Source organism: Homo sapiens, chromosome 17 (genome assembly GCF_000001405.40).
Source record: "Homo sapiens chromosome 17, GRCh38.p14 Primary Assembly".
NCBI classification, from domain to species: domain Eukaryota; kingdom Metazoa; phylum Chordata; class Mammalia; order Primates; family Hominidae; genus Homo; species Homo sapiens.
The window spans coordinates 35,766,918-35,781,165 of record NC_000017.11 but is presented as its reverse complement, the minus strand read 5'-3'; the positions used below and the strand labels follow the sequence as shown (position 1 = coordinate 35,781,165).

General features: G+C 50.2%; 1 protein-coding gene across 15 annotated transcripts in view; it reads left to right on the top strand.

Annotated features, from left to right (window-relative positions):
• The window catches only part of MMP28 (matrix metallopeptidase 28), a 39,393-nt gene that overhangs the window by 14,476 nt on the left and 10,669 nt on the right, over nt 1–14,248 (top strand). For 7 of the 15 annotated variants that reach the window (XM_011525231.2, XM_011525230.2, NM_024302.5 and 4 more), the window contains 6 exons: nt 1,843–1,922; nt 2,091–2,278; nt 7,762–7,986; nt 10,854–11,099; nt 12,787–12,936; nt 13,247–13,414. In XM_011525231.2, the coding sequence (XP_011523533.1) occupies nt 1,843–1,922; nt 2,091–2,278; nt 7,762–7,986; nt 10,854–11,099; nt 12,787–12,936; nt 13,247–13,414 (1,057 nt within the window). Of the gene's footprint in view, nt 1–437; nt 457–1,842; nt 1,923–2,090; nt 2,662–7,761; nt 7,987–10,853; nt 11,100–12,786; nt 12,937–12,989; nt 13,066–13,246; nt 13,415–14,130; nt 14,194–14,248 lie in introns of those variants that run through there. The other 8 variants (XM_017025064.2, XM_017025063.2, NM_032950.4 and 5 more) reach the window with 7 other exon arrangements.

The window sequence follows — 14,248 nt, the reverse complement described above, 5'->3', positions numbered from 1 at the left end:
CCTCTCTCTCTGACTTCATCTCACGCTCTGTTTCTTCACACTTGCTGTGCTCCAGCCTTCCTTCTGTTCCTTAAACATGTCACTGTCATTCTTAGCCTAGGGCTTTTGGATTTGCTGTTTCCTCTGTCTGGAACACCCTTTCCCACCTCATTGCATGGCAAGCTTCTCATTCTTTAGGACTCAGATTACGTATCAGCTCCTCAGAGACTCAACTCCTTCCTGACCTTCCGATGTGAAGTTTCTTTAAATTATTCTCAGTCATATCACTTGGTTTCTTTTCTTCATAGTACCAATTTATGTCCTTTATTTACTTTTTTTTTTTTTTCTTTTCGAGACAGGGTCTTGCTCTGTCGCCCAGGCTGGAGTGCAGCTGCGTGATCTCGGCTCACTACAACCTCTGCCTCCCAGGTTCAAGTGATTCTCATGCCTCAGCCTCCAGAGTAGTTGGGACAACAGGTACCCACCACCACGCCCAGCTAATTTTTGTGTTTTTAGTAGAGATGAGGTTTCGCCATGTTGGCCAGGCTGGTCTCGAACTCCTGACCTCAGGTGATGTGCCCACCTCGGCCTCTCAAGGTGCTGGGATTACAGGCGTGAGCCACTGTGCCTGGTTTAGGGATGTCTTATTTTTTATTGTACCTAGCAGGGTACCTAGTACATTGCATTAATTAACGAATGAATAAAAGAAGCTTTCTAATTCAAAAAATACATCTTTTAGAGAGTCAAGTTTTTATATCAATTATAAGGTTAGTGGTAAGTGCATTTGTTGTTCTAGGACCTTTAATATAGCTACATTTGGGCTGGGCACGGTGGCTTACGCCTGTAATCCCAGCACTTTGGGAGGCTGAGGTGGGTGGACCGCCTGAGGTCAGGAGTTCAAGACTAGCCTAGCCAACATGGTGAAACCCCATCTCTACTAAATACAAGAAATTACCCAGGCGTGGTGGTGCATGCCTGTAATCCCAGCTACTTGGAAGGCTGAGGCAGGAGAATTGCTTGAACCCAGGAGGCGGAGGTTGCAGTGAGCTGAGATTGTACCATTGCACTCCAGCCTGGGCAACAAGAGCAAAACTCCATCTCAGAAAAAAATAAATAAAATAAATAAATAAATAAATATATCTACATCGGTGGGGAAGATAACTGTTTTTTTAAAAATCCAGAATTAGACAATTCACAACCCAGCCATGGCAGAGCTAGCACCTGATAAGCTCCTAATCAATACCAAAAGATATTCTAGAGAATGTAGTTGTTTCAGGATGCATATGAATAGTGTATATGCACGTAACGCATAACACATATTATAATAGCCACTCTGTATGGAGTCCCTCCTATGTAATAGGCACTGTGCTAAGTGCTTTATAAACACTCTTGCGATTAGTCCTCACACACACAAAAAAACCCCTGTAAGGTAAGTACTAGTATTAAGCCCACTTTACAGTTGAGAAAACTGTGGTTTAGAGAAGTATCTTACTAGTTGGAATTCAAACCTAGGTGGATCTGACTCCAGAGCCTGTTACTGTACTGCCTAGCATGTGCTGCTAGATTCCTACTGATGCCGTAAGATATGGGTAGGTACTACTGGCCCAGTTTTAGGCATAAGGAAGCAAAGGTTCAGAAATATTGAGTGACTTGCCTGAGATCATCAGCTAGTCAGTGGTGACCTGGAATTGAGTCCAGGTCCTTTTGACTTTAATCCCAGAACTCATTCTGCTATAGCTTATAGACCCTCTTGGGCAAAAGACAAGAGGTGAGACTGGGCAGGATGTATGTGCCCTGGGCCCTTGGGGACCAAGGGAGGGGAAAGGATGCTATGGAAAAAGCAGATATTCCTCTCTCCCGCAGGCATTCCTAGAGAAGTACGGATACCTCAATGAACAGGTCCCCAAAGCTCCCACCTCCACTCGATTCAGCGATGCCATCAGGTAGGGTGGAGGGATGTGGAGGACTTGGGGTAGGGGTGCTAGGATGCCAAGCTCTGACCATTTCCTCCCTCCTCCTGGAAGCCTGGCTGGCTACACCCCAGGGAGGCAGACTTCCCTGCCCTCACCCTTACCACTCACCCTCCCCTTGCGGTCCTTTCCTCCTGACAGAGCGTTTCAGTGGGTGTCCCAGCTACCTGTCAGCGGCGTGTTGGACCGCGCCACCCTGCGCCAGATGACTCGTCCCCGCTGCGGGGTTACAGATACCAACAGTTATGCGGCCTGGGCTGAGAGGATCAGTGACTTGTTTGCTAGACACCGGACCAAAATGAGGCGTAAGAAACGCTTTGCAAAGCAAGGTGAGCACTGTTAAAATCCGGCTAGGCCAAGATTTCCCAATGTCTTGAAGCCAATGGCTAGGAAAACAGCTGAGCCTGGGACTGGACTTTGTCAGTAACCTCTCTTCCCTAGGGCACGGGAGGAGTGGGTGAATAGGACCTCTTGGCTTGAGGACCATGATTGTGAATACAGACATTTAATTCAGAATGACACCTACATTGATGAATTTTCATTGTACAAGTGTTTTTCCAGATCAAACACAAAACCCATGTAATTCCTTGATAAATTTTCAATGCAGGGCAGATAAACTGTTGCTAACATTTTTCATTTATATTTACTGAAGTTATTTTCATCAGAATTCATTCTTTTTCATAAGTTATTAAACAAATGTGTGATCTATTGATTTACTTTGTCCATAGCATATTTTTAACCACTTTATTGAGATGTAGTTCACATCCCATACAATTTACCCATTTAAAGTGTACAATTCAGTGGTTTTTAGGATATTTGCGGAATTGTGCAACCATTACCACAATCTAATTCCAGAACATTTCATCACCCTGAAAAGAAACCCCATGCCCATTAGCAGTCATTCCCCCTTCTCCCCCTCCCCTAGCCTCTGGCAACCGCTAATCCACTTCTGTCTCAATGGATTTGCCTCTTCTGAACATTTCATCATAGCACAGTTTACACATTACAGTTTCTGCTGTCATGATTTTCCTCTTGTAACTTTATTTTGTTTCTTTCTTTTCTTCTCCTCCTTCTTTTAGCCAAATTTAATATTCCAGGGGTTAAATGGTACAGATCTAAGATTTATGAAGATTTGATTCTTTTGTCAGTTTTTCACAAATAACAAGTTTCACTATGCATAATTTTTTTTAAAGACAGAGTCTTGTTCCATCACACAGGCTGGAGTCAGTGGCGCAATCTCAGCTCACTGCAACCTCCGCCTCCTGGGTTCAAGCGATTCTCCTGCCTCAGCCTCACAAGTAGCTGGGACTACAGGCACATGCCACCACGCCCAGCTAATTTCTGTATTTTTAGTAGAGACAGGGTTTTGCCATGTTGGCCAGGCTGGTCTCGAACCCGCCTTGGCCTCCCAAAGGGCTGGGATTGTAGGCGTGAGCCACCGCACCTGGCCTACCGTGCATAATATTAACAACCTGATTGTTTTAACTAAGTCTAATTTTCTCTGCTCAATTTTTGCAGCTTTCAAGATTTCTAACAAGATGGGGGTTTTTAACCAGGTTTTCATCTATCATTAATTTTACTGTGAACACTTTGGGCCATTGCCACTTTTAATTTGTGTTGACTACTTTTACTGATAGTATTCATTAGGAACAGGACAGAAGGCACATAGTTTGTTCTCATTTCTTAGCTAACCTGTAAGGAAATTGTGGGCAGTTCCCCTTCACTGTTGGAGGGTGGCTGTTTCCAGGTGTTTGCCAAACCAATTCTGCTTCACCTATATGCCCAGCCACTCTGGGTCCTCAGTACTGACTGCTTGCTTTCCTGGTAAAGCAAGGAGTCAGCAATGGGGTCCGGCTCCGGAGTCAGGATGCCCTTGGTGTCAACATGTTCTGTGTCCCACCGTGTTTCTGGGCAATGGAGAGGAAGAGTGAAGTAGAAGAGCAGAGAGCTACGAGTTCAAGAGGCACTGGTAGAACAGAGAGCAGCATCCCTGGAGCCAGAGGCCCTGGGTTCAAGTCTCAGCTGTGTGGCCTGGGCCAGGTCACTTTTCTCACTGAGGCTCCGTTCCTTCATCCGAGACATAGGCCCTTCCAGGTTGCAAAGGAGAGATGGTCCTTGATTACCAGGTGGAAGGGGCTTGTTGTGAGAATGCAGTGGAAAGTGGGGCAGCCCCAGAAACAGTTCAGCAGCTGTACTTTGACCTGAGCTCCGGGGCTGCTTCCTTCTGGCTGTATCTCACCTTCTCATGCCCCAAAGGAAGGATCTAATAGAGTTCATCTGTCACTATACAATTTCGAGCATCTCTCTCTCTCTCTTTCTTTTTTTTTTGAGATGGAGCCTTGCTCTGTCACTCATGCTGGAGTGCAATGGCGCAATCTCAGGTGACTGCAACCTCCACCTCTTGGGTTCAAGCAATTCTTCTGCCCCAGCCTCCTGAATAGCTAGGATTACAGGTGCACGCCACCATGCCAGGGTAATTTTTTTTTGTATTTTTAGTAGAAACGGGTTTCACCATGTTGTCCGGGCTGGTCTCAAGCTCCTGACCTTAGGTGATCGCCCACCTCGGCCTCTCAAAGTGCTGGGATTACAGGCGCAAGCCACCGTGCCCAGCCAGAGCATCTCTTTTTGATAGAGGATAGTATTACTCAGTTGCCACATAAAATATAGGATGCCCAGTTAAATTTGAATTTCAGATGAACAACAGATAGTTTTTTAAAGTTAAAAAAAGAAACTTATCTGGCAGCTGGGCACAGTGGCTCACATCTTTAATCCCAGCGATTTGGGAGGCTGAGGCGGGAGGATCACCTGAGGTCAGGAGTTTGAGACCAGCCTGGCCAACATGATAAAACCCCGTCTCTACTAAAAATACAAAAAGTAATTAGCCTGGTGTGGTGGCACGCACCTGTAATCCCAGATACTCGGGAGACTGAGGCAGGAGAATTCCTTGAACCCGGGAGGTAGAGGTTGCAGTGAGCCAAAATCGCGCCACTGCACTCTAGCCTGGGTGACAGAGTGAGACTCTGTCTCAAAAAAAAAAGAAAAAGCCTGGGCGCGGTGGCTCACACCTGTAATCCCAGCACTTTGGGAGGACGAGGCGGGCAGATCATGAGGTCAGGAGATCGAGACCATCCTGGCTAACACGGTGAAACCCCATCTCTACTAAAAGTACAAAAAATTAGCCAGGCGTGGTGGGGGGTGCCTGTAGTCCCAGCTACTTGGGAGGCTGAGGCAGGAGAATGGTGTGAACCCGGGGAGGCAGAGCTTGCAGTGAGCCCGGATGGCACCACTGCACTCCAGCCTGGGTGACAGAGCAAGACTCCGTCTCAAAAAAAGAAAAAAGAAACTTATCTGGCAACCTCATTGCAGGTACCTGCTCCTCCTGCCTGCCTGCAGGCTTCCTGTTCCTTCACTAAGCTGGCGGAGGTTGGGGGCACCAGGGTGTATCCGGGGTGGAAAAGGAAGGAAGAGGGGAATGTATATTTATTGAGTATGCACTACACGCCCAGCAGCTCCACATTGCTGTCTCATTTAAGCCTCACATCTTACCATGGGAAAAGTCTTATCAACCCCATTTTGCACATAGGGAAACAGGCTTGGAGAGATTCCATAATTTGTTATGTAAGTTTGCAAGTAGAGGTACTGGGATTCTAACCCATGTTCTTTCCACAGTGTCAGTTCCCTGCTGGGAGTCGGAACTCCAGGGTTCTGCCCAGGCAAAGCTTTTAGTTCTCCTCCCCCTTCCCATACTTTTTCCTTCCCCCTTCCTTTTTGAACTTTGGAGCAAGGGTGTCAGGGAGTACAATGCCAGGTGCTGCTAGGGCCTGGGGGTCACCACAAAAACCAGCCCTCCCTGGCCAGGAGTTTGGGTCAGGGCCTGAAGCGGCTAGCTTTCTCCATGGGAGCAAATCTGGAGGGAGACAGGGGCAAGGGCTCAGACTGCTGGCCCCCAGCCAGGTCCTTTCTTCCTGGCAGGCACACCAGCGACACCCCCTCCCCTGGTCCTCTCAGGAAAACAGTCGTTTTCTCTCAATTCCCATTCCTATTCATCCTCCCTATTCTTCCCCCAAACACACACATGCACATACTCAGAGTTTCCTACAGGATTTTATTCTGAGACCTGTCACCTTCACTGGCGGCCTAGAATGAGAAAACTGCCCGCCACCCCCTCTTCTGCCTGTGAAGTGAGGGACCCCACTAGCTGCAAAGAGGCAGAAGGAGCCATCTCACACTATGCTAATGGATTAGAGGTTTGTGAGGGGAAAGAAAGAGCCTGGGAGACCGTCCCCCACAGCAAGGGCGTGAAAGAGCCCAGCGCCCATTGAAGACTCACAGTGTGCCCAGCAGAAGCATGACTGGTACATCACAAACCCTCAGCCGCACCTCTGGACCCCAGGTCTTCCCTCTGCCTTCTTTGTCTCCCTCCCTTCCTTAGAGTCATTCCCTCTCTCCTCGTTAAGGGTTGGTCACTGGCTGGGAGGCAGAGGTTGGGTGGCTGCCAGGCCAAACAGGCCCAGGGAGGCGGCATTGCCTTGAATGGAGCTTGGCTCAGGGGTGGGAGAAGGGATGTACCCCTCCCCCACTTGCATTGGTGAGGAGAAGAGAGTCCAGCTCCTCTGCTCTCCAAGACCCTCCCTTACATCTGGAGAATCTTAGTTCATGCTTTGACCGGCAGGAATGATGTTTGGGCAGATTTATAAGCCTGGCGTCCTGGCAAATGTGCCTGCCTGTCTATGTGGAATAATGGAAGAGCCCTGGATTAGGTGTCAGGGCCTGCCTCAGCTACTTACTCATTCCGGGACCCTGGGCAGGCCCCTTGTCCTGGGGTCTCAGGTCTCAGTTACCACATCCTTGGCCCAAGAGTCCTGCCTCCAAGCCGCGAGTCTTCCACTTGAGGTTACAATCCCAGCCCCTGAGTTTGCAGGGCTCAGAAATAGCCCACAAGAAACTCGGGATCTGGCCCTTCCGGCCATGCTGCTGCCGGGTGCACGCTGAGCTGCAGTTGGGCCCAGACTCAGTTGACGGGGGCTGGGGTAAGAGGCCAGAGTCTCAGCCCTCAGGGAGGAGTTGCAATTTGGGGCAAAGGGAGAGAAACCCTTAACAAAGCAGAGATGGAAAACTTTCTCTCAGTCAGTGACAAAACACACGCTTTGTTCTTATTTGTTTTCACCTCAGAGCTCTCCAGAGTCCCTGAGGAAGCGAGGAGGAGAGGGGCAGGAAAGAAACTCAAATGAATGAGTCTTGTGGTTGTTGGCTGGCCATAGGCCCCAGGCCCTGGAAAGGGCAGAGTGAAGTGTCTAGAGGTGGCAGGAGGGTGTGAGGCCTGAAGAGAGATGGTGGGGGGCAGGGGGAGTCACAGCTGTGGCCTCTGTGGCCCCACCTCTCCTCCACTCTGACACTGCAGGGAGGGGCTGGGATTTGCTGGTAGCAACAGACACAGAACTGTTTTCAGACTCAGCCCAGGCTGTGGGGAAGAATAAGACCCTAGACCAAGGGTTCAGACAGACTTCTTCAGATTGGGGGCTTCTCCTGGGCAGAGGCTGCTTCCCCTCCAACACACTGGGACCTCCACAGTCCAAGCCACTGTACTGGGGACTGTCCAGGGTAAGGGGAGTCCTCTCAGTCTGAGGGCTGCCCTCAGCCAGGCAGTATCGCCCCAGTCAAAGGGGGAGCTGCCCAGGGCAAAAACTGTGTCTTCCCCGTCAGACGAGGGGCTGCTGGGGGAGGGCCTACCCCTCGCCATCCTACTGGGTCTGTGGGGACCAGACTCGGGCTCTGCAGCAGGTGTGACTGACGTGGGCTTTCTGGGTGGCAGGTAACAAATGGTACAAGCAGCACCTCTCCTACCGCCTGGTGAACTGGCCTGAGCATCTGCCGGAGCCGGCAGTTCGGGGCGCCGTGCGCGCCGCCTTCCAGTTGTGGAGCAACGTCTCAGCGCTGGAGTTCTGGGAGGCCCCAGCCACAGGCCCCGCTGACATCCGGCTCACCTTCTTCCAAGGGGACCACAACGATGGGCTGGGCAATGCCTTTGATGGCCCAGGTGCTGGCACAAAGCCTCCCTCCCGCACAGCAGGAGGGGAACCCAACTTGGAGAAGCAGTTTGGGGGTGGCAATGAAGCATTCACCCTCCCTGTGGCCTTGGCTGAGGCACATCTCCCTGCAGAGAACCCTCAGTCTCCTCATCCTAAAATGGGAACAGTGGTCCCTGCCCTATTATGTGTCACATGTCTGAAGGGACAGTCAGATGAAGCTCTGCAAGGGAAGTGCTTTGCAAATTCTCAAGAGTATTATGCATTCTGGGAGAATCTCCCGAGGTTCCATCATCCATCCTCTGCCTCTAGACAGGCCTGTGCTTCTCTTGTTCTCCAGAGTGGATGTTCACTCCAGAGCCCTAAAAAACATCCACTGCCCACCACTGCTCCCCCACCCCCAACTACCAGAGCCGCTGCCACAGGGCAAGAGGCACCCTACTCCCGACAGCCCTGACAGGGAAGTGCTTCATATACCTACGCCACAGATAGTTCTGTTTGTCCCCAACCTGAAGACTCTGGCTGCAGTTTAAACCGCTCTTTTCCCCTTCTGCCTAACGCTAGCCTTCAGAACCTGAATATAGGCTGTTTGCACATTTCCCCTCCTAATGAAGAAAGGAAACCTAATCAGACCCCTTCAAGCTGGGGACTTAAGCCCTTGTATGGCCTGGGAACTTGAGCCCCCACCTCCCTCGCACCCTCCTGCTTTCAGTCAAGCCCACCTACAGCAAAGCCCACATCCAGGCCCTACTGCTGAGACCTGGGTTAGGACCAGGAGGAATCTAGGCTTTGCAAGAATCCACATGTAGTGCACACATGCACTTATTTGTAACTGACTTCATCCATGTGATCTACCTGACATGGTTCTATCCATACCTAGTTAAGACAGCACTGCACTGGGAGTAAGGACATCAGGATCCCCAAGCAGCCCTCTGATTTGGGACAGATACTTTGTCTTTTTGAATAGTGGTCTTCTCTCCCAAACCTGCCCATCCGTCTCCCAGTGAGAGTTGAATAGAGTGAACAATGCTTGAAACAGCTGGAGACATATTCAAAATAGGCATGTATTCCTCCTACATGCGGCTGACTTTCCATGCCCCCAGGAGGATCTCCTTTTAGTCTAGCACCCCCATCTTTGCCAGTCACAGTTGGCCTGGGGTCCAAGAAGGCAAAGCTGGAGGGACCCTCGACAAGCTTCTAGGCAAACTTTATCATAGTGCAGTTTTCTGACTCCTGTGTCAGGGTCACCTGCCGCTGTGGAAGGGGAATTGTTAGGGGTGGTACCCTGGCACCTGCACATCTAATAAGCTCCATCTGGGGCACACTAAAAGCTTGAAAATCACTGATCCAGCCCAACTACCTCTGCTCATTCCTATTAGAAGTAGAGAGAGGCCCCCCAGAGGTGCCCTGGCAGAGGAGGGCAAGAACACAATTTTATATATATATATATATATATATATATATATATATATATATATATATATATATATATATTCACTTCTATATGTATGTATATTTTCTTTAACAAAAGTATATATAAAATAATAAAAATAAAAATTATACTTTTTATTAAATAAAATACACATACATATAGAAGTGAACCATCTCAAGTTTAGCCTGATGAACTTTCATACACTGAATGCTCCCAGCACCCAAATCAAGAAACAGAAGGTCCCATCATGCCTCCTTTTAGGGGTAACTATACTCTACCTACTCCTAGATCTTTTTGAAAGTAATTCTTTTTTTTTTTTTTTTTTTTTGAGACAGAGTCTCGCTTTGTCACCCAGGCTGGAGTGCAATGGCGTGATCTCAGCTCACTGCAAGCTCTGCTTCCCGGGTTCACACCATTCTCCTGCCTCAGCCTCCCGAGTAGCTGGGACTACAGACACCCGCCACCACGCCTGGCTACTTTTTGCATTTTTAGTAGAGACAGGGTTTCACCGTGTTAGCCAGGATGGTCTCAATCTCTTGACCTCGTGATCCACCCGCCTCGGCCTCCCAAAGTGCTGGGATTACAGGCGTGAGCCACCGCACCCAGCCTGAAAGTAATTCTTAAGTGGCCCTTATTACGTGCTAGGCACTGTTCCAAGGATCACTTTTTTGTTGTTGTTGTTTCGTGGTTGTTGTTGTTGTTGTTTGAGACAGGGTCTTACTCTGTCACCCAGGCTGGAGTGTAGTGGCGCAATCACAGCTCACCGCAGCCTTGACCTCCTGGGACTCAAGAGAGCCTCCCACCTCAGCTTCCCAAGTAGCTGGGGCTACAGGTGCACACCATCACGCCTAGCTAATGTTTTTGTTTTTTAGTGGAGATGAGGTCTTGCTTTGTTTCCCCAGGCTGGTCTCGAACTCCTGGGCTCAAATGTTCCTCCCACATCAGCCTCCCAAAGTGCTGAGATTATAGGCGTGAGCTACCACACCCTGCTGCATCATTTGTAATACACATGTACACACACACACACACACACACACACACACATTTATTATTCAGAACAACTCTGTGAGGAAGAAGCTCACCATCATCATTCCCATTTGCAGATCAGGAAGTTAAGACATAGAGAGGTTAAGCTAAATGCTGAAGGTCATACAGCTAGTAGATTGTAAAAGTAGGAATGGCACCCAAATTGGTGGGCCCATGCCATATCTACACCACAGTGCCTCTTAGGCGTCCACAGCCTACTCATCGTCCACTGCACTACTCACCTGAAGTAGTGCAGAGCCTACTGTTCACCTCTGCACACTTCAGGTTCTGCCAGATTTTAGGAGGGAAACTATACAGCAGAGAACAGCCACACACACCCCAGTGGCATTTGCGCTGGGCCGCGAGTACCTGGGGGCGTCGTGGGCCGTGGCACCCCCTGACCTTCTGCCCCACCTGCAGGGGGCGCCCTGGCGCACGCCTTCCTGCCCCGCCGCGGCGAAGCGCACTTCGACCAAGATGAGCGCTGGTCCCTGAGCCGCCGCCGCGGGCGCAACCTGTTCGTGGTGCTGGCGCACGAGATCGGTCACACGCTTGGCCTCACCCACTCGCCCGCGCCGCGCGCGCTCATGGCGCCCTACTACAAGAGGCTGGGCCGCGACGCGCTGCTCAGCTGGGACGACGTGCTGGCCGTGCAGAGCCTGTATGGTGAGGCCCCGGGACATGCCCCGCTCTTGGTCCCACTCCTGCCCCCAAGGCCTCCTGTCCTTGAACGCCGGCTCTGCAAATAGGATTTCCCATCCTAAGCTCATAGATCTGGCCTCCCTGTCGCCGATTCGTCCCAATTCTAAAGCCCTATGCCCCTCCTCAAATCTGAAAAACCTCGGATTCTTGCTCCCCCGAGTCCATGGCCCTCATCTCTCCATCAGTCCCAACTAATTCCTGTGCACAGTACCCCCAACCCCGCCCCTTGCGTTCCACTTACTGGATTTCTGCCCAACCCCCAGCCCCCGCAGCTCCCGCTCACACCATGTGCCCGCCCCATCACCCATACCCAATCCTTGGGCCCACCTCTTCCCCCATCCCGGACCCCAAAGCCTTCATTCCTGCCCCAGCCACTAGCTCTCCCCGAGCCTTTCTCTCACCACGATGCTGATGCCCCCTATCCCCAAAGCCTGCCCACCTCTGCCTGGTGGTGGGCTCAGACCAGGTCTTCTTCCCCAGGGTGGGCCAGTGCTACTGCCCTGGGATCTATCTCAGCCCAGGGCTGTCTCCCTCAGAGTGCCATGGGCAGAGCCAGGAGGCCTGGGTTCAAGTCACCTTCCATCCCTGATTAGCAGATGCTCTTGGGCATTTTCCCTCTGTGAACCCTCAGTTTTACCTTCTGTGAAAAGAGATAACAACTGAGGTCCTGCTTACCTGACAGGGCTGTTGTGCTACTGGGTATGAGCATGCTTTGTAGCCTGAGAAACTTATACCCTGTAATACTAACAGCTACTATTTCATGAGTACCTACTGTGGGCCAGGCACTTGACATGCAACACACCCATGAAGTATGCATCTTTTTGTCCACAGATCAAGATAATGGGGCTCAGAGAGGTTAGGTAACTTGCTCAGGGTCATGCAGCTAGGAAATTGCAGACTGGGATTCAGGTGATGGTACCAAATAATAAGCTTGTTGGACTCTGCTTCCCTCCTCTCATAAGTGAAGGATAGTGATGTAATTATTATAATTGCTGTAGTTATCACAGCCTGGGTCTCTGGACTCTGCCCTCATGACACCTGTGTTGCCCAGGAATCAGAGAAGAGGACTCCCTGACCCGCTTAGTTCCCTTGCTTGATACCCCACTCCAATTTTATCTCAGGAGGTTCCTCTGTCCCAGGATGTTGGGTAGAAGAAGATTCCTGAGTTTAGTTTGATGGTTAGCACCAACAACCAGGAACAACTCTTTTTTTTTTCTTTTTGAGACGGAGTCTCGCTCTGTCACCCAGGCTAGCGTGCAGTGGCATGATCTCAGCTCACTGCAACCTCCACCTCTCGGATTCAAGCGGTTCTCCTGCCTCAGCCTCCCAAGTAGCTGGGACTACACGTGTGCACCACCATGCCTGGTTAATTTTTGTATTTTTAGTACAGACAGGGTTTCACCATTGGCAAGGCTGGTCTCAAACTCCTAACCTCAAGTGAACTGCCTGCCTCGGTCTCCCAAAGTACTGGGATTACAGGTGTGAACCACCATTCCTGGCCCAGGAACAACTCTTAACCCCCACTCCCACTCTCCTTCCTTGCCCCTCATATTAGATAATCATGAAAGTAACCAAGGGAAGGTCTTGAGTGCACAGCATACCCTCTACCCTATGTGTGTTCTCTCTCTCTCTTATTTCCTTACTCACAAAGGGAAGCCCCTAGGGGGCTCAGTGGCCGTCCAGCTCCCAGGAAAGCTGTTCACTGACTTTGAGACCTGGGACTCCTACAGCCCCCAAGGAAGGCGCCCTGAAACGCAGGGCCCTAAATACTGCCACTCTTCCTTCGATGCCATCACTGTAGGTAAGAAGGTCCCACTGGTGCTTTGCTTCTTTCTCTCCTTCCATATCTCTTAGTGTCTCCAGAGCTGCAGTACAAGTTGGGGGGATGGACTGTAAAAGCCAGAAATCCCAAGCCACAAGCACGCTGCAGGTAGCAACCCCACACCCAGCAAAACACCGCTTCTTCCTGCCCACTTTCCCCTCTGCGCCAACTGTACACACCATACCCTATGCTTGTCCATTTGGGAAACTGGCTTCCAGGACAGCATCTTTCCTGGAAAGACAGCAGGAAGCTGATGGTCACTCCTCAACTCTCTCTTGTCTCTGGGCAGACAGGCAACAGCAACTGTACATTTTTAAAGGGAGCCATTTCTGGGAGGTGGCAGCTGATGGCAACGTCTCAGAGCCCCGTCCACTGCAGGAAAGATGGGTCGGGCTGCCCCCCAACATTGAGGCTGCGGCAGTGTCATTGAATGATGGAGATTTCTACTTCTTCAAAGGTACTGGCTCTGGGGCAGCGGGGAAAACTGAGCCCTAGAGAGGGAAGGTGTCCTGCCCAAGGTCAAAAGAGGACAAAAGAGGGGAAGACTCTCACACGAGTCCATGGTGGAGTCTCCATTCCAATCTGAACCTGTGACCCCAGGGAAGACTCTATCAGAAGATACCTTTCAGGGATGGATTAGGGAGCAGCAAGTGTCAAAGTCCCAGGGAGAGTTTCAGAGAGGAGTCTAGAGGGAAGCAGAGGACTGCTCTGGAGTTCTGCAACTGAGCAGAAAGCTGGATCTTCCTTGGAATCCTAGCTGTGTGGGGTTGGACGTGTCGCTTAACTTTTGGAGTGTGCATTTCTCGAATGGGGAAAACAATACCTCACACTTGCTGGGGAAGGAGTGTGAAAAGAGAATATTGCCTGAAGAGTGTGCAATATCTTACTAGATACATGTTAATACTTAGGTAAATAGTATTCATTCATTTGTTCATTCATTCAACCAATATTGAGTGCCTTGTATGCACTAGACGTGGTTGGATATGTTAGGGATACAGCAGTGAATGAAACAAAAATCCTTGCCCTCATAGAATTATTAGTAATGATGGCAGTGGAGAAAGCTCTGGGCCTTCCTTTCGGGGCTATCTGCCCTCTGCTGACACCTGCTGGGAGTCTAGACAATAAATAATAGGAGTTGCTACTACCACCCTGCTATTTATAACTAATTTGTAGTGCAATCCGTTTGATTGATATGAATACCAACCATCGTGGGCTCCAGCTTAAAGGAGAGCAGAGGTATGGGGGACAGAAGTGGGGTAGAGGGCCAATGGGTGACAGCCTCCAGCTCACC